The 19,922-nt window shown below is 44.4% G+C and overlaps 2 pseudogenes, besides 1 other annotated feature; one reads left to right on the top strand and one right to left on the bottom strand.

The window, feature by feature from the left end:
• RNU6-1073P (RNA, U6 small nuclear 1073, pseudogene) lies at nt 8,250–8,355 on the bottom strand (annotated as a pseudogene).
• Nucleotides 15,590–15,789: a silencer, noted in NCBI's record as "silent region_19727". NCBI's record gives its function as "represses an Ori minimal core promoter by ATAC-STARR-seq in GM12878 lymphoblastoid cells {active_cell/tissue: GM12878}" and the evidence as "EXISTENCE:reporter gene assay evidence [ECO:0000049][PMID:35858748]".
• H3P29 (H3 histone pseudogene 29) lies at nt 17,477–18,191 on the top strand (annotated as a pseudogene).

Raw genomic sequence — 19,922 nt, forward strand, 5'->3', positions numbered from 1 at the left:
GTGGATCACCTGAGATCAGGAGTTTGAGACCAGCTTGGCCAACATGGTGAAACCCCGTCTCTACTAAAAGTACAAAAATTAGCCAGGCATGGTGGAGGGTGCCTGTAGGCCCAGCTACTCAGGAGGCTGAGGCAGGAAAATCGCTTGAATCCGGGAGGTGGAGGTTGCAGTGAGCCGAGGTTGCGCCACTGCACTCCAGTCTGGGCAACAGAATGAGACTTCTTCTAAAAAAAAAAAAAAAAAAAAAAAAAAATTCTGAAGAAAGAAATGTTTGCTTCAGTGGGGTAAGTGTGGTCAGGGGTCAGAAATGAGAAACTGGGTGTTAAGATCCTCTGTCCTCCCAGCATTCAGTTTTACTCCGAGTCCCAATTTATGAGCCCCCTCTGGTTAAAGAGGCAAACCTCTTGGATTCTAACTCAGCTCTCAGAGACCATCCTGTTGCAGCACGTAGAATTCAAGGGAAATGAATACTCATCTGCCCACAGGTACTCAGTTATTCTTTCACATGAAACTGAACATCTGGAAGAAGAGAAAAACCAACTTCTGTTTTAATTCCTTCTGTCACACAGGCAACATCTGGGGGCCGGGCTAGGCTGTACACTTTCAGTTTCCATCAACTGATGTTTGACTTGTGTCAATCCGGTCTTAGAGGAAGTTAATCCACATTAAACCACAATGCCTCTCCTCCCTTCTGGTGGATCTGCCAACTCCTAGTGTTGGTGTAAATGCTTTGTCTAAGATGCTGAGAGTGTGGGTTGGTTCGTTGTGTTCTAGAGCATTTGTGTCAAAGTGTGGTCCATGTACCCAGATGCTTAATTTCTAGGGTAGATTCCTGGGCCTGAGTTGTTGAGTCAGAATCCCTGGTAGCCTAAGCAGTACATTTTTATTGTCCTCTCCAGGTAATTTGTACACTCACTAAGATGTGAGAATGAACTTCCTCTTCATCACATCCTTGGGTTTTCTTTTTAGATCTACACCACGTAAAAGGGCTGAAGGCCATAAACTTTTATGCTGAGATATTAAGTCCTTTCTCCCCCATTCCCACCTACTTTTCTAGGGCAAGGGTAAACATCAACATGTAAACAGTCCTAGTACATACCCTAGATCTAGTTCAAACAATGTTGGCATCAATGTCAATTATTAGGTTGAGTATACATTTGGGATCAGACTTGCTTGTTTCTGGAAATTTGGTTGGTGAAGGACCTGATAAGAGCTTAAATGTGCTATTCTTTCCCCCAAGGGGAGGGCCAGAATTTTTGGCACTGCTGATCCTTCCGGCTGTCCCATGATTTTCAGTTTACTAGTGACATCTGGGAATAGGTTTTGCCCTCGAGATTTGAGCTTTAAGAAATAGCAACATTCTTGATGATGGGGGTGGGAGGAAGTAATTTTATAGATGAATTGAGAAGCAAGACATTTGTTAGGTACATGGATATGGTTGAAATTAACGGTAGGGCAACCTGGGGAGGCATCAGGCACCAGAGAAAAGGGGCAGTGATTCTGGACCACTGGTCCAGGCTGTTAAGTTGGTCAACAGGCTCCTAAGAGCCGAAGAACATTTCAAATGTATAAAAAGAAACAGGACTAGAGAAGGAGGTGTGAGGTGTAGCAGTCCTGTATTACCACACTTGCTCTTTAGGGACTCAACTCCCAAGGTCCCTAGCTTGCCCTAAGGATAGAGGGGATGGGAGGTGGTGGCAGAAGGAGCATCTTGGGAACATTTGTTGGGTGCCCAGAAAACAGGCTTTGACCGCATTTGAACTGACGTATTTGAAAAATGAACTTTATTTCACTGCATACTGTTTCAGTGATTCATTCTTTATATGTGCATTTACTCAGCAGAAGTGAGTCAAAAATAAGATGGATGCTAAATTTGTATGTTAATTTTAATATGGAAGCTATCCTATATTTGAAGAATAAGATCAATGCTTCAATTTCATTTCTTATGTGGTACTGAACGTTGTCATTACCGGAAAAAAATCATTTCTGAATGCATCCTCCCCAAATTCTAATCTCAGAGGACAGAGGAGGCTCAGGAGAGGCAATCTTGCCTTTTGTTGATGGTCTATTCTGGACATGCTTCAACGTTCCCACAGTATCATTTACTATTTCAGTGTGAAGGGTAAATAGGAAAGGTAGTGGTTTTCCCTTAAATTACAATGGAGTTTATTTACTAATTAGATTCTGAGAGTTTGCCGAGATTGTTAGGTTATGTCAAGAGTTTCATATATCCCATGGGCAAAGCCACTGGACTTAACCAAAAGTAAACAGCAGCTGTTGAGAAAAATTATCCCTTCCGAAGACTTGAGTCACTGCTTGTTGGTTTTAGACCATGACCTCACCCTGCCACTGTGATTTAAATGAAAGATTCCTAAGATCTGTGGAAGTATCTCTGTCTCCTAGCCAAATATGGCAGAACCAGATGTGTGGTGGTTTCTATAGAGGGAGGGTGGGTGAATTAAACGTGGGACCTTTCTCAGCCCCAGGGGCTGCTATGACAATACCAGTGGGCTCTGTCCTCACTAGCAGCCTGCTGGCTGTCCATTGCAGCCCCTGGCTTTCCTTATTGCTTCTGCCTTCAGGGATCACTGGGTGAAATAGGCTGCTGTGGAGGCTGTCCATTTTGTGTATTGCACCAAGGGGTCCAGCCAAGGAGCAAGTGGGGCCTCAGATCCAGAGTGGGTACCCTTTTCAAATTTGTCAGACCAGAAAAGGTGCTGTTTTAGGAGAAGCCTTTTTCTACTCTGCTCAAAGGTACACTAAAACCTAGCAGAGACCCTAGAGAAAGAGAGAGAAAGAAAAAACAATGAGTTGCTAGAGAACAGTTTGATCATTGAAAGGAATACTGTGGAAGCCATGGATAAATAAATCTTCGTCAACCTATCTCCTTTGGCCTGTCCCCTTTGAGAAAATAGGAAGTAGTTTCAATTTTCAAAAAAATCTCACTCAATGGACTTGAGATTAGAAATGGAGGGAGATGTTGGAAAGGGAGCTGGAAGAACTAGCCTTTATTGAGTATCTACTACCTGCATCTGTTAGGTCAGCCCACCATTCTGACCTCAGTATATCTCTAAGGATTGTCCCTGATCTAAAACCAGCTCAGGCCACCAGCAACCAGGTGGGCATATATCATTTAGGGCTGCCTGAGTAGACAACAGCATATGTAAAACAACACAAATGAATGAATGAAAATGCCCACAGAAAACACTAATTTATGCAGTTTTCTTTCTTTTTTTTTTTTTTTTGACATGGAGTCTCACTCTGTCAACAGGCTGGAGTGCAATAGTGTGATCTCGGCTCACTGCAACCTTCGCCTCCCGGGTTCAAGCAATTCTCCTGCCTCAGCCTCCTGAGTAGCTGGGACTGCAGGTGTGCACCACCACACCCGGCTAATTTTTGTATTTTTAGTAGAGACGGGGTTTCACGATGTTGGCCAGGATGGTCTTGACCTCCTGACCTTGTGATCCGCCCGCCTCGGCCTCCCGAAGTGTTGGGATTACAGGTATGAGCCACTGCACCCAGCCGATTTATGCAGTTTTCTATCTTCAAGATAGCTCTGTGAGCCAGCCTGTCTGCATATCTCTTAATACAGTAATATTTGAGATTCACTGCAGATCCTGAATCTTCAAGAAACATTATGTGTAATGCAGCTTAGTATTAAAGATATCTTACTGTATCCAGAGTTTTGAGAATTGGAATAATGCTTTGTATACCACTGCTTATACCCTTAGAGAAAATCTTATGAATCCAACACTGATTTAGTCAAATTAGTAATTCAAAGCACCTGCTAGGTATTATTTTGAAACATTATCTGAAACCAATCCAAATGCAAATTATTTTATTAAAAAAACACTTCTAGCTGGGCGCGGTGGCTCACACCTGCAATCCCAGCATTTTGGGAGGCCAAGGCAGGCAGACCACAAGGTCAGGAGTTTGAGACCAGCCTGACCAACATGGTGAAACCCCGTCTCTACTAAAAATACAAAAATTAGCCAGGCGTGGTTGCAGGCGCCTGTAATCCCGGCTACTCGGGAGGCTGAGGCAGGATAATTGCTTGAACCCGGGAGGCGGAGGTTGCGGTCAGCCCACATCATGCCACTGCACTCCAGCCTGGGCAACAAGAGTGAAACTCGGTCTCAAAAACAAAACAAAACAAAACAAAACAAAACAAAACAAAACAAAAACAGAAAAACCGATTCTACCCAGAATCCCACATTGTCCAAAAGTGGTTTGGAATTAAGTGAACACAGGAGCAAGCATTTAAAAAGCACTTATTCCGGCTGGGTGTGGTGGCTCATAGCTGGAATCCCAGCACTTTGGGAGGCCAAGGTGGGAGGATCACTTGAGCCCAGGAGTTTGAGACCAGCCTAGGCAACATGGTGAGACCTCATCTCTACAAAAAATTTTTAAAAGCCGTGGTGGCACACACCTGCAGCCTTAGCTACTCGGGAGGCTGATACAGGAGGATCTGTTGCGCCCAGGAGTTCGAGGTTGCAGTAAGCTATGATTGGGCCATTACACTCCAGCCCAGGCGGCTGTCTCTTAATAATAATTTAAAAAGCACTTATTCTGTGCTAGCCATTATTAACATCTATTAACTCATTTAATCCTCTCAACAACCACATGAAGTCAGTAGATTACCATTCCCATTTCGTAGATGAGGAAGCAAAGAAGTAACTTTCTCAAGGTCAACTACCAGGAAGGGTCACGTGGATGTGGGCTTCGGTCTCTCTCAGGACTTTGGATCCAGTTTACGGTCTCGGAGTTCACAGGGCTTTTTGGAGCCCCTGGACCTTTGCCCAGCCGCCTGGCTTCCTCCTGGGCCCGAAGACACCTCCATGAGAGGTGGGAGGTGCGGCCGTGGCTGTCGAGGGCAACCCCCAGGAGCCTGAGAGGACGTGGCGTGAAACCCTGTGGGTTAGAGCGACCCGCACCTTCCGTTTCCCGGAGCCGCCTGCGTGAATGTTCTTCCCGGCTCTGCTGCCCCCTGGAGGCTAGTGGAGGTAAATGCGTGAAGTCGGCGTTTTCCCTCCTTCCGTTTCCCGGAGCCGCCTGCGTGAATGTTCTTCCCGGCTCTGCTGCCCCCTGGAGGCTAGTGGAGGTAAATGCGTGAAGTCGGCGTTTTCCCTCCTTCCGTTTCCCGGAGCCGCCTGCGTGAATGTTCTTCCCGGCTCTGCTGCCCCCTGGAGGCTAGTGGAGGTAAATGCGTGAAGTCGGCGTTTTCCCTCCTTCCGTTTCCCGGAGCCGCCTGCGTGAATGTTCTTCCCGGCTCTGCTGCCCCCTGGAGGCTAGTGGAGGTAAATGCGTGAAGTCGGCGTTTTCCCTCCTTCCGTTTCCCGGAGCCGCCTGCGTGAATGTTCTTCCCGGCTCTGCTGCCCCCTGGAGGCTAGTGGAGGTAAATGCGTGAAGTCGGCGTTTTCCCTCCGCCTGTTAGTCCTCCTCATTCATCTCTCGGCCAAACCAGAAAGATGTGAGGGTATTTCAAAGATATCTTTGCTATATTTTATTTCACTCAAATTCAAGGATCCCTCTCCCAGGACAGCTGTGACTACAGACCATGGGATTCACATCCTCCCACCCCACGGCGCAGGACCGGCAGGGGATCTCCAAGAAGCCCCTAGCCTATGGGTCGCTGAGACCCTCCTAGAAGTTTCAGCCTGGCTGATGACATGCATGTGTGTTGACCACGGCTTGCGGATTAAACTCAGATATGAATTATCTAATGCCGCCATGGAGGAAATGTAATGTTAAGACCCAACTTTATTAAAACTGCTAGGCAAATAATAGAATGCCAGGAAAACCATTTCAGCCATAGTTTCTCCAAGGGGCGCCTATGACTCACTGGATCTGGAATCCCCTGAAGTGTCTGTTCAAACAATTTAGATTCTTAATCCATCTTTAAACCTTCTCAACCAGAACTTCTGGGAGGGGATATCTCCCTCCCTCCCAGGAATCCACAATTGCAATGAGAACCTTGAAGTCCACTCCTGTCCAGGGAACAGCCTTAGAGAACTCAGGCCCTCCAGTGAAGGAGGAAAAGACAAATCTAGTTGTAATACTTGAAGTATATTGCTCATCTGTAAATTACCCACCCAGGTGAATAAAACACTCTCTCAGGGTAAAAGCACATGTGAATTTGTCCAAATCATTGTAATAAGGCTCCTGGGGGTGGGGGGTGGTTAACATCAGTGATCAGCAGCAACTATTAATACTAACTACATCATCCCCACAGGGCTTGGGGTGCAAGGACAGTTATTTGCCCTTCATAGTTATGGATTGGTTCGATCAATTAAAAGAAAAATTACCCAAAGAGAATTTTTCTTTTTTTAAACTCAGAGTGAGACCCAGTCAGTAAGCATTTTGAACTGTGGGTGGAGGACCCAGTTGCCTTACAAGTGTGCCTTTGAAGGAGGAGGAGGAAGAGAGGAAGAAAGGAGAAGTGAAGACGGAGACTCTCTTTGGGCAAAGCGGGGCTTTCAGCACGTTCGGTGGTACAGCTCTGACCCTGGCCAATCATGGCACTGACCTATGCCACCATATGGGGGTGGATCGAGGTGGGTGGTGGCATCTGGGATCTCTGCTTGGCTTCCCGGTTGAAAGGAATATCCTCTGCAGCTCCACCGGGGAGCAGGGCGGACAAGGTGAGATAGTTAAGTCTACAGGAAGGAGGGAGGATTGTGGTTTCTGAGCTGGCCTCCCTCTCCCAAGGGGTGGGAGGGAGGCCTGGAGCAACCTCAGCTGAGATCCATTAGCTCCGGCCCCCACCAGAAGCACGGGCATGATGAGTGTTTGGAGGACAAGGGAAGTGAGCCCACCTGTGCCTGGGAGCACCAGCATCTGCTGCAGCTATTATGGCAGGGAGAGGAAAGGGCACTGCAAAAGCCAGCGCGGCCTGCAGAGGATACACCCATAGGTAGTGGGCTTGACCCTCAGTGAGTAGAAGGGATAGGGAGAATAAAATGCATTCCCGTTGTGGCCTAAAGGCCTCCCAACTGGAAGGAAGCCAGGCAAGCCTGACCAGACAGCGGGTTCCAGTGGCCATTTGCCCAGGAGAGTAGCCACTCTGTGGGTGGGATCAAGTCCTTCCTACAGCATCGCATACAGTTATTCACACACCAGAGCTTTGGTGACTTGTTCTGAGCCTAGCTGGACCCAGATACCTTTGTTTTCCAGTTTTCCTGATAAATTAGCGCCAAAGAAGGAAGAGCTCATTAATCAACTGTCTTGGTCCATATATAAGACACCAGTTAAACTTGAATTTCAGATAATCAGTGAATAATTTTTTATCATAAGGATGTCCCAGGCTGAATTTGTATAGGTATATATTTTTATGTGTGTGTGTGTGTGTGTGTGTGTGTGTGTATATATATATATAACTATGTCCAGGGAATAGTATGTAAGTATAATATATAATACTGATACATGTAGCATATGATATAATACTTATATAATATTCCCTGGACATAATTATGCTCTACAATATATGTATGGCCTATACATACTTATACTAAAAAATTATCCATTGTTTATCCAAAGTTGAATTCAACTGGGCATCCTATGTTTTTGTTAGCTAAATCTTGTAACCCTACCGGAAGCGATGTGTCTGTGGTATGACTATAGCTGTCGCCTCGGTCATGTCCCTGCAGTTAAGAAAACAGGAAAGCTGAAGTGGTAACAAAATGGGCTGAAGGCCTAATCCAGCCCTCAGGTGTATTTTGTTTGATTAGTACAGAGTTTTTGTTTTCATTTTCAAGTAATTGCCAACATTGAAAAATCCAGAGATCTCACGTATGCACCGAGTGTTTAGGCATTTCTGGAAAAGGTGGAAGATCTGTCAATATCGTATGGAAACAAATTAGATGTTCCCTGTCTTGGTCTCACTCATTTGTGCTTCTTTCCTGTAGCTGAATTTGGGACAGATCCATGTAGGGTATTCAATTCCCTAAAATTTTCCCTAGAACAGGGAGGAACTTTTTTTGGGGTGCTGGAATCCCTGAGTGCCTGTTGAGCCTGACCAGGCTGATCTAAAGCAGGAGGGCTCTTTACCCCTCACCCTCGACGTCTGACCTGGAGACTTGCTCCTTATAAGGCTTACATGTGACCTGGGACAGGTCCCTTGCTTCTCCCAGGGTCTCTATTTTCATCCCTAAAACAAGGGGACAACTATCCATGTTTCCCAACTTTTTTGTACCAAAAGTTCTGTTTTGTCAACCTTATGCCACTGTGGTTCCAGTTTTTGCTTGTTTGTTTGTTTTATAGAATGGTTCACAAATTTGTGAGTCATCCTTGCTCAGGGCCACGCTAATGTTCTCTCTGTCATTCCGATTTTGGTATGTGTGCTGCTGAAGCGAGCACATGGACCCGATGTTTTCAAAGATCTGTCTACCCAAGCAAATGACATATGTTACAAACAGCCTGTAAGTTCTGGCCTGCCTGAAAGCTAACTGGTTTCATCACACCACATGGGTCAAATTCCCTCTAAAAGCAAAACCATTTTGTAAGCTCCTGTAACCTTGCTGAAAATAGGAATGCCTTTAAAGCCAGTAAGGGCTGGGTGGGGTAGCCTAGGTTACACTTCACTAACACACTCCAAAATTTCAGTGGTTTAACACATAAAGGTTTATTTTAAAACTTTAACCCGTGCAGAATCTGCCATGGGTTTGGCAGCTCTTTAGGCAGTGACACAAGAATTGTTTCCTTTTTTTTTTTGAGACAGAATCTCACTCTGTCGCCTAGGCTGGAGTGCTGTGGCATGATCTCGGCTCACAGCAACTTCCGCTTCCCAGGTTCAAATGATTCTCCTGCCTCAGCCTGCTGAGTAGCTGGGATTACAGGCATGCACCACCATACCTGGCTAGTTTTTTATAGTTTTAGTAGAGACGGGGTTTCACCATGTTGGACAGGCTGGTCTTGAACTCCTGACCTTGGGCGATCTGCCCTCCCAAAATGCTGGGATTACAGCCACTCTGGCTTTAGTTTCCTTCTTTACTGTGGCTTGACCATTTCCACACGTGGTTTTCCTGGCAGGGGAGGGTGTGCTGGTGGGCTTTCCAGGGCCTCACCTCTGCTCACATTTCATTGGCTGGATCCAGTGCCATGGCTTCACTTAGAGGAAAGGGCTAGGAGGTAGAGTTTTCTGCATGCCTGGGAAGCTGTGGAGAAAAGCATACAATGAAACTAAGAGGTGACACCACAGGGACATGAGCCCTTTCAGTTCCAAAATCCTACATTCTGTCATTCTTCAGAGTGGTCACATGGTGTGGTCTGTAGATACACTGGCTTGACCTTTAAGATGACTGACTGCTGTCAAGCAGAACAGATGCTACAGATATGTTGAGCTTTAAGTAGTTCCAAATCCTATGTTTCCTTCCTGATGATAATAGCTTTTTTTTTTTTTTTTTTAGACAGAGTTTCGCTCTTGTCACCCAGGCTGGAGTGCAATGGCTCGATCTCTGCTCACTGCAACCTCTGCCTCCCAGGTTCAAGCAATTCTCCTGCCTCAGCCTCCCAAGGAGCTGGGATTATGAGCGCCCAACACCACACCCAGCTAATTTTTATACTTTTAGTAGAGATGGGGTTTCACCATGTTGGCCAGGCTGATCTCAAACTCCTGACCTCAGGTGACCCGCCTACCTCGGCCTCCCAAAGCGCTGGGATTACAGGTGTGAGCCATCATGCCGGCCACAGCTAACTTTTATTTTGTGTGCGTGTATCGACTCAACTTATCTTCACAGCAGCCCTAAAAGGTAGGTACGTTTTTTATTGCTCCTGTACTATTTTTTTTTAACAGGAACTGTTTCATAGATTTTAAAAACAGGCTCTGTCTTCACTTGAACAGATATATTTGAAAAATGAACTCGAGTCCACTGTGTGCTGTTTCAGTGATGCATTCTTGATACATGCATTTTCCCAGCAGAAGGCCCAGAATCACTAACACGCTGCTTCAGGGTCACACAGTTGCTGTGGGGAGCTGGATTTCCCCCTGAGAGTCACATCCGAGAGCCCATCTTGGGCTGACACTGGGGCCATTAGGCTCAGGGGCCCTGACATGCCCAGCCTCCAGAGTCTGCTCCTCAGGATTTCAGAGACCAGCTCATCAGGACAGTGAAGCCTGAGTGTAAGATGAAACTGGCCTTAATTTGACCAGCTATAGTAAGTTGGCTTTAATTGGATGTGAAATATTTTGCCCCTACAGGGAAATTTAACTGTGTTTTTTTTCTTTTTGCCATTTAGTGGCCCACGTTCCAGTGGGTACAATTTCCAACTCCCAGTCCCAGACTAGCCCCTAATTAAAATATGATGTTTTCTTTTCAAGCTTGGTTTGAAAGTCAACCGACAGTTTTTTGTTTTCTGTTGTTAGGAAATTGTTTTTATTTTTTGAAAAGGTCAGGGATTTACAGAGCTCCAAAGTAAAAAGACATAAAAAGGTTTACAGGGAAAATTCTCCCTCCTCCGAGCTACCTGAGTGCAACCAATGTTTAGTGTCTTGGGCATCCTTCCAGAAATATTTTATTTTTAATTTTCTTTTTACAAACAAGGCAGCGCTCTGTCACCCAGGCTAGAGTGCAGTGGTATGATCACGGCTCACTGCAGCCTTGACCTCCCCAGGCTCAAGTGATCCTCCTAATTTTAGCTTCACTAGTAGCTGGGACTATAGGCACACGCCACCATGCCCAGCTAATTTTTGTTCTATATTTTATGTTATTTTTTTGTAGAGACAGGATCCTACCATGTTGTCCAGGCTGGTTTTGAACTCCTGGACTTAAGTGATCCTCCTGCTTCAACCTCCCAAAGCGTTGGGATTACAGGCATAAGCCACTATGCGCAGCCCTTCCAGATATATTTTATGCACATGCAAGCATAAGTATTCTTTTTTCATTTTCTTTAAACATTATTTATAGTATACTATATACACAGTTGTTTTACCTTGCCTTTTTTTTTCTGTCCACTTACTATGTTTTGGAGATAGCTAAATATAATTATAAAGATAGTTTCTTCATTTAAAAATTTAAATTTAAATTAAAATTTTATTTAAAATAAAAATTTTAAAAATTACATAGTATTTGGCTGTTCCATAGTTTATTTAGCAGTCCCCTTCTGGTAAGTATGTTAAGTTTTGAAGTCATCTACTATTAAACGATTTAGTAATAAATAACTTTAGACCAATGTGATTTGAATTGGGAGCAAGTATAAGTTGCATGAATTGATGAAAGAGGAATTCCTGCAGCAAAGCGTACATGCATTGGTAATTTTACTAGATACTGCCAATTTGTCCCCTTATAGGTATTTTTCCAGTTTATACTCCCACCAATAAAGTACAAGAATGTCAGTTGCCCCACATCCCCAGTGAGTGTGTTTTCAGTTGTGATTTCCCACAACTTGAAAATCTCAGTATGCTTTCATTTGCATTCTCTTCTTATGAATGGAGGTGAGCTTTTCGTATGATGCCATCTGCATCAACAGCCATCTCTTTCTCGGAGTGCTGGAAGAACACTTGCCCTTGAACAGGTCTGTGACCCAAGCTCAAAGCTGGCAGAACCCATCGCAGCTTAACCACCAGGGTTTGTAGCTGAATGTCTTATGCAAGGAAGTGGTTGGTTTCTGCAGTGTGTTCTCATTAGAAATGCTTGGTCACTGAAACCAATCCTAACCAGGCTGATGGCGCCATCTATCTTTCTGAGATGGGTAAATGGAATGCAATGCAGTTTTACAAGCGGGATATTTGGGACCTGACATGGATGATTTCAGGGACCTGACCCTGATGATGAGCTCTGCCAGGGGCTGTGGATGCGTTCCATCAAAGCTGAAAATATCATCAACTTATTGAATTGTCTTTTGTCCTACTTGATGTCACTGAAGTGAGCATGTCTTTTTGATTTTTAAAAAATGTTTGGCCAGGTGTAGTGGCTCACGCCTGTAATCCGAGCACTTAGGAAGGTCGAGGCAGATGGATTGCTTGTGCCTAGGAGTTCCAGACTAGTCTGGACTACATGGAGAAACCCCGTCTCTACAAAACAATACACACAAAAAATTAGCCAGGTGTGGTGGCAAGAACCTGTAGTCCCAGCTACTTGGGAGGCTAAGGTGGGAGGATCACCTGAGCCCAGGGAGGTTGAAGCTGCAGTGAGCCGTGACTGCACCACTGCACTCTGGCCTGGGTGACGCAGTGAGACCCTGTCTCAAAAAACAAACAAAACAAAACTTTATTATTAAAAAAATAAAAGGCCCACATATATAGAGAATAGTGAAATGAACCCTAATCTACACATCACCAACATTAAGCAGTTACGAAGACTACACGACACTTGACCCATCCATCCCATTTCCTGTTTCTTCCTTTTGGATGAGGTAAGTAGTCTTTAAAGCAAATAATGTCATTTCACCCTTATGTACTTCAGTAAACATCTCTAAAAATGGGCATAGTCATATATAATTACAATGCCATGATCAGATCTGACAAAATTAAAAGTAATTCATTGGTATCATAAGACCGAGTTCATAAAAATCTCCGAGTTATCTCCAGCCTCGCTCCCCCTTTACCGTGGGTTTGTCTGATGGGGGTCCACACGCTGTATTTGGTTCTATGTTTCTTACGTCTCTTCATTTGCACAGTGGACGCCCCCTTTGTGAGGAAACGGAGTCCATTGCTCAGCAGAATCCTCTCCATTCTGAAACTGTGTGTTTGCTTCCTCGTGGAGTCACTTAATTTGTTCCTGGATCCCCCATGTTTCCTGTAGAGTGGAAGCAGATCTAGAGGCTTCTTTGATATGGGTTCAAATGTTTGAGGGAGATGTACTTCCCAGGAGATGCTGGTCCACTGCCTACTGCGTCACTTCCGAAAGGACACAGTGGGTCTTTTGTCCACCAGGCAAGATCAGTAGGGGTCAGTAACGTCAGCCAGACAACCCCTCCATTGCAAACTCCACTTTCCATCTTTTCTCTACAACCTTTCATTTGCTCACTATGTTGCTGGAATCAGTAATTTCAATTAGGGGTTGAAAAATGGGGATTTTCCTTTTTTTTTTTTTAATTTTTTTTTTGAGAGGAAGTCTCCCTCTGTTGCCCAGGCTGGAGTGCAGTGGCGCAATCTCGGCTCACTGCAACCTCCCGACTCCTGGGTTCAAGTGATTCTCCTGCCTCAGACTCCCGAGTGGAATTACAGGCACGCGCCACCACGCCCGGCTCATTTGTGTATTTTTAGTAGAGATGGCGTTTCGCCATGTTGGCCAGGCTGATCTTGAACTCCTGACCTCAGGTGATCCACCTGCCTTGGCCTCCCAAAGTGCTGGGATTATAGGCGTGAGCCACTGCACCCAGCGGGGATTTTCTAATTCTACCATTGCTTCCACATATTAGTTGGAGTTTTTTCTGTATATAAAGAAAACTAGAGTTATTTTGTCACCTTGGAATAGTTTATATCATTGTTAAAGTGGCCAATGGCTTCCTCAGGTTTCTTGTTTTTTAAGTAGTCTATCCTTCTCCAGTTGAGGAAACAAAGAACAGCATATTATGTTCAGGCCATGGAATTAGCCTAGGAAAGAAATAGCCTTTTTTTTTTAGCTTTCCTTATTACCATAGAATATTTAGCCCCAGATGTGTGTGAAATGTCATAATTACTAATCGATCCTTTCTACTTGCAGGCCTTACCCTTTGTCCCTGCCTTTGGTCTTTTCCTCAGGGTCTGTCTCCTCGAATCAGCAAAAGCATTGAGTTGTAATAAAGCATGTAGGCTGAAATATCATCACTGAAATCTCAGCACATTCCTTTCGCCCCAAAGCCAAACACCACTTAGTTGGATGATATTTGGATAATATGTTGCAATGACTCTCAGTTGTGTACACTTTAGTAAGAATTAATGCAACCAGCTTGCTTTCCATTTCACAGATTAGGTTGATGCGGGAGAGACAGGCCTGGAAAGGAAGTAGCAAAAAGAGGGCGTTGAATCACCAGGTGCAGGGCCCTTTCTAGATGGTTGTGGAGGCAGCTGTTGTTTTTTCAGCTAGTAGAAGCAGCTGACAGCATTTCATGCTAAGAAGAGATACTAGGAAGAAGGAAGAAGGGAAATAAAGATGTTCTGGGAACTTTTAGCTGCTAAAGAATGGGTTAGATACCCGATTATGGGCACCTGAAATCCCCATTCTTCCCCTACCACACCGTATCTCTGTAAGATATTTTTGCTGCAAGTCACACAATACTGGACTGAGAAAGGCCACTGTCTAGACATGTGCGTTTCTGAATAAATACCGACTGGGTGGTAGTGTAGCACAGTGGTTAAGTTCATAGGCTTTGGAGACAGATCTAACTGGGTTCAAGTCCTGGCTTCATCATTTGGGTTAGAGGCTTTAATGTCTTCAGCCCTCAATTTCCCCACCTGTAAAATGGGGATAATAACAAGGCCACAAGGCTACTGTGAAGATTAAGTGGACTTGAAGCCTTTACCACATTTCCTTTCATATAAGCCTTCAATATATAATAACTTTGAAAAAGTGAAAACAAAAAATGGAAAAGATTTTTTACTTCAAAAGAGGATTCCACCAGTTGGTAGAAAAAGATTTTATTTTCACTAATCCAGTGGGCACAAAGACTCCTCCAGGTATCCTTCTGTCATGCGAACAGGAGTGACCTGGTCAGCCACCGACAGCTGGATGCCCCTTAGACATTGCTAGGTTGTTCTGAATGTCAAAGATTTCTGGCCTGATGCGGAGGAAAGGGAACTCTTATATACTTTGGTGGAAATGTAAATTATTGGTACAGCCATTATGTAAAACAGTATGGAGATTTCTCAAGAAACTAAAAATAGAACTAACATATGATTCACCAATTCCACTGCTGGGTATTTATCCAAAGGTTAGGAAATCAGTATGTTGAAAGGATACATATACCCTCTTGTTTATTGCAGCATTGTTCACAATAGCAAACATGGAATCAACCTAAATACCCATCAATGGATGAATACATAAGGAAAATATGGTACATATGCACAATGTAATACTATTTGGCCATAAAAAAGAGTGAAATCATGTCAGTGGCAGCAACATGGATGGAACTGAAGGTCATCATGTTAAGTGAAATAAACCAAGTACAGAAAGACAAATGTCAAATGTTCTCACTCATATGTGGGAGCTAGAAACGCTGACCTCATGGAGATAGAGAGTAGTAGAATGACAGACACTAGAAGCTGGGAAGGGTGTGTAGTGGGAGATGGGGGTAAAGAGAGGTTGGTTAATGGGTACAAACACACAATTAGAAGAAATAAGTTCTAATGTTCGACAGCAGAGTAGGATGACCAGAGTTGACAACAAGGTATTGTATATTTCAAAAAAAAAAGCTAGAAGAGAGGACTTGAAGTGTTTGCAATACGTATAAATGATATTCGAGGTGATGGATACGATAAATAACCTGACTTGATCATTACACAGTCTATGCATGTAACCAAAGATACGCGTGTCTCATAAATATGTGCAAATATTTGCGTATCAATAAAAAATAAATATTTTAAAATGGAAAAAAGAAAGGCTCTGGCCTGATGAAAAGCATCTTGTAGCAGCCCTGATCTTTCACTTCCATCATTTTCGTTCTACGGATCTAAGCATCGTGTCCTAAAGCGGGGCTGAAACAAGCCTCACCAGCACCGGGCGGACACTCTGTGCTCCTCGAGCCAATGGCGCCATCTAGTGGTGCTGTTGCGCTAACACAGCCTGGCCCTGGGCCCAGGTTTTGTGGCCACTCTCAGAGTTACCCTGAGTGTTCACAAGAATAAGCTTCAGCGACGTCTTCTTGTCTTTCACGCTTACTAAAGTGCAGTCGGCTGCCTGGGCTCCCATCAGCTCCTCAGAAGGTGGGAACATTGCTCACTGTTCCTCTCTTTCTGGCTCTGCCTCACTCCTGTGCCTCTCACTGTGGCATGTGGGTGACATGCTGGGACATGCTGGTGATGCCATTTCTCTGCGTGGTCCCATTTATCCTTTGGAGAACTGATGACAAATGATAGGTACCTAGGCAAAAATCATATGTCCTGTTCTGAAGTAGGATTTAAGGGGATGTTTCTGTCTTTTCCATGCCCTTCCTGGAACCCTAAGAATTTGTGAATGTCCAGTAGCTATAATTAGAAGTGGCTAGCTTCAGGGTCCAATGTGTGATTGGCTCTTACTCTATGATGACCCGACCTCACTCCACAAAAGTCCCAGAAAATTTCCAAAAAGTAGTCTCTGTACATCGCCTTCCGTGCTTTAGACAGGACATCTGCCACACTGAGTCTGAGGACACGGGGCACTAAGCGTACCCAGGCAAGATCATTAGCTGAGTTAGCTCTAAAAGCTCGCTACCAAGTGTGGTCTAAGGAGTAGCAGCAGTACCATCACTGAGAGCTGGCTAGAAGGCAGACTCTGGAGCCACGCTGTAGACATACTGATTCAGAATCTGAAGTTTAGCTAGACCCTAGAGATTGGCGCACTCACTAACATTTGAAAAGCACCGAACTGTGGCAGTGACTCTCAACTTTGGCATCACAATAGAACGACCCAGAGGGCTTCTAAAGATCTGGATACCTGGCCCTCGCTCCAGACTGATTCTAATCTCTGGGGGTGGGAAGTGGTGTGGTGGTAGGACAAACATTGAGAAAGAGGTTGACCATTTAGAGCAGGACCATTCAATTACCCAGAGCTGGATTTTACCACAGTGAGGGTACAGGAAGTTGGCCTATAGCTCCTTCCTGAAGATCTCACAAAAGGAACAAAAAGTGCCAAAACTCAGCAAAAACTCTCCAGTAGTAAACAAATTAGGTTAAGAGGCACAAATTCTTGTTAGAAACTTTAAAACATGGTGGCCAAGAAAATAATCGAAGCTTCTAGTGTAGACCACACAGGTACCTACCAATCCCATCCTACCTGCCTGGAGTGATTCAAGAAAAGGAGGCTGGTGATGAAATTCTGAGAATTCTCACTAATATCCACCGATGTAAAGAAAAGAAAACCTACGGAGTAAATAGGCAGCCTGTGGGAAAGGTTAAGAGTATTGTGATTTTTTTCCCCCAAGACAGAGGTCTCACTCTGTCTCCTGGGCTGGAGTGCAGTAGCATGATCACAGTTCACTGAAGCCCTGAACTCTTGGGCTCAAGTGACCCTCCTGTCTCAGCTGCCCGAGTAGCTGGGATTACAGGGCAGGCTACCACACCTGGCTAATTCTTAAAACAATTTCTCATAGAGATGGGGTGTTGCTATGTTGCCCAGGCTGGTTTCGAGCTCCTGGCCTCAAGTGATGCTCCTGCTTCTGCGCCCCCAAAGTGTTGGGGTCACAGGCTTGAGCCACCACACCCAACCTGAAAAATTGTGTTCTAACAAGCCCTCCTGGTAGTCCTGATGCTCACTAACATTTGAAAACTGCCGATGTTAAACGGTCTCCAAATTGTGTTCGCAGCCACCACTAGCTTGCTGAGCTCCAGCTGAGGAAGGTGGGTAGGGAAGGAAGTTTCTATACTGTGGCTCCTACCATGCTGACTGCCCACAAATCAACTGGGGGTAAAGCACCTAGGAAGCAGCTGGTTACAAATGCTGCTCACAAGAGTGGGCCTCATATTGGAGGGCTAAAGAAACCTCATCGTTACTGGCCTAGCACTGTGCCACTCCATGAAATTAGATGGTCTCAGAAGTCCACTGAACTTACAACTCAAAACTTCCTTTGCAGCACCTGGTGAGAGAAATTGCACGGGACATCAAAACAGATCTGTGCTTCTAGAGTGCAGCTGTTGGTGCTTTGCAGGAGGCAAGGGAGGCCTACCTGGTTGGCCTTTTTTTGTTTTTTGAGATAGAGTCTCACTTTGTCACCCAGGCTGGAGTGCAATGGCGCGATCCCAGCTCATTGCAACCTCTGCCCCCGCTTCCCCTGGGTTCAAGCGATTCTCCCACCTCAGCCTCCTGAGTAGCTGGGATTACAGGCATGCGCCATCACACCAGGCTAATTTTTTTTTTTTGTATTTTTAGTAGAGACAGGGTTTCACCATGTTGGCCGGGCTAGTCTTGAACTCCTGACCTCAAGTAATCTACCCGCCTCGGCCTCCCAAAGTACTGGGATTACAGGCGTGAGCCACTGCAGCTGGCCTGGTTGGCCTTTTTTAAGATACCAACCTGTGTGCCATCCATGCCAGACATGTAACAATTATGCCAAAAGGCATCCAGCTAGCACGTGGAGAACAGCTTAATAATCTACCATGAGGAGAAACACGTTTCGTTCTCAAAAAAATAAAAACTCTCTTCTTCCTGTTTTTGGTAGTTGTGAACAATAGACATTTTTTTTCGTGGGGCCAAAAGGTACTTAAGTATATGATTGTGACTGGAAAAACAGGAGACAGAAATCAGGTATGGGCAGTTTTTCCATTTTCATCTGAGTGTGAATTGTTCATATAAATGAGATGTACAGCATTCATGCAAGTCAAAAGTTTTGTTGAACAAGTTTCAGCAGTTCAACTTTATAGCAATTACAAATACACCTGTTAAATGTTTCTGGACGATGCCAGCATTTGCATTTTTTAAAAACAAGCAAATTTCTTATTGACTGCAACTAACTGGTGTTTGTAGCACTTTTATCATACAGCAGATTCCATCCACAGACTTTTCTAACTGAGTTGTCCTACATGCAAGTATATATTTTTAATGTTGGCTGTCTTCTGTGCCGTTCCTGTATTAAAATACATGAAGCTATAAAAAATAATACTCCAGGTGATTGTTGCTCTCTGCCAACTTAAGTCCGGTATTGTCACGTCTTTGATTTTGTTTTTCAAGAGAAGCTGAAATTCTGAATTTTTATGTGTCACCTCCCAACTTTTAAATGTTGGCAACAAATTTGCCTTTTCGAAAAAAAGAAAAAAAAAAAGAAAAAACCAGACAGACCAAAGAAAATAAAAGTTTGTTTCATGAGGTGTTAATTTTGTGCCACTGATTATAGAACATCTGGATGGCATTGCCCACCTTAAGCATGAAAAAGATGAAAAGAAATGACATTGGCCGGCGTGGTGGCTCACGCCTGTAATCCCAGCACTTTGGGAGGCTGAGACAGGTGGATCACCTGAGGTCAGGAGTTCGAGACCAGCCTGGTCAACATGGTGAAACCCCGTCTCTACTAGAAATACCAAAATTAGCTGGGCGTGGTGGCAGGTGCCTGTAATCCCTGCTACTTGGGAGGCTGAGTCAGGAGAATCGCTTGAACCTGGGAGGTGGCAGTTGCAGTGAGTCGAGATTGTGCCACTGCACTCCAGCCTGGGCAACAGAGCAAGACTCCGTCTAAAAAAAAAAAAACATGAAAATGTATAGAATATTAGAGAAGAAAAGATACCAGAGGGACAGAACACACAAAGATAGATGGACAAGCTAGTGTAGAAGAGAAAAATACCCACAGGAGAAGAGAGCTAAAAACCTGAGATGATACAACGGCAAGAACATGGAACTGTTATACATTAGGAGACTTCGGACATATCCCTGTTTTTCACCTGCCAATAGATCAACAACGCGGCAACTGAGTGAACACACTTTTCAAAGCCAACCAGTCAGTGTCAGGTCTCCCTTCTGAAAGGAGGAAGTTCAATTAAACAGGCCTCCAAGTGTCAACCAATCAACAACAGTGTCATCAATGACGTCAGCCCACTTACACCCCTGGAAATCCTGTCTCTAACTTCCACCTTCCCCTAAACCCTGTATGAGATCCATAGTCAGCTCTGCTGATCAGCACAGTTGTCTCTTATAAAGCAGTAACTTCAGTTTTGTCTTTTTATCTTATATATTGAATAGTGGTCTCATCTGACAAATTCAAGAATGAAAAAGTTGAAGTAAAAGAAAGAGGTGGGTGGTGAAAAGTGAACAATGTAAATTAGAATTAAGAAAATGACCACAAGGTTTATGATCACTGAATAGGACATAAATATATTATAAAAG

This window comes from Homo sapiens, chromosome 9 (assembly GCF_000001405.40).
Source record: "Homo sapiens chromosome 9, GRCh38.p14 Primary Assembly".
NCBI classification, from domain to species: Eukaryota; Metazoa; Chordata; class Mammalia; order Primates; family Hominidae; genus Homo; species Homo sapiens.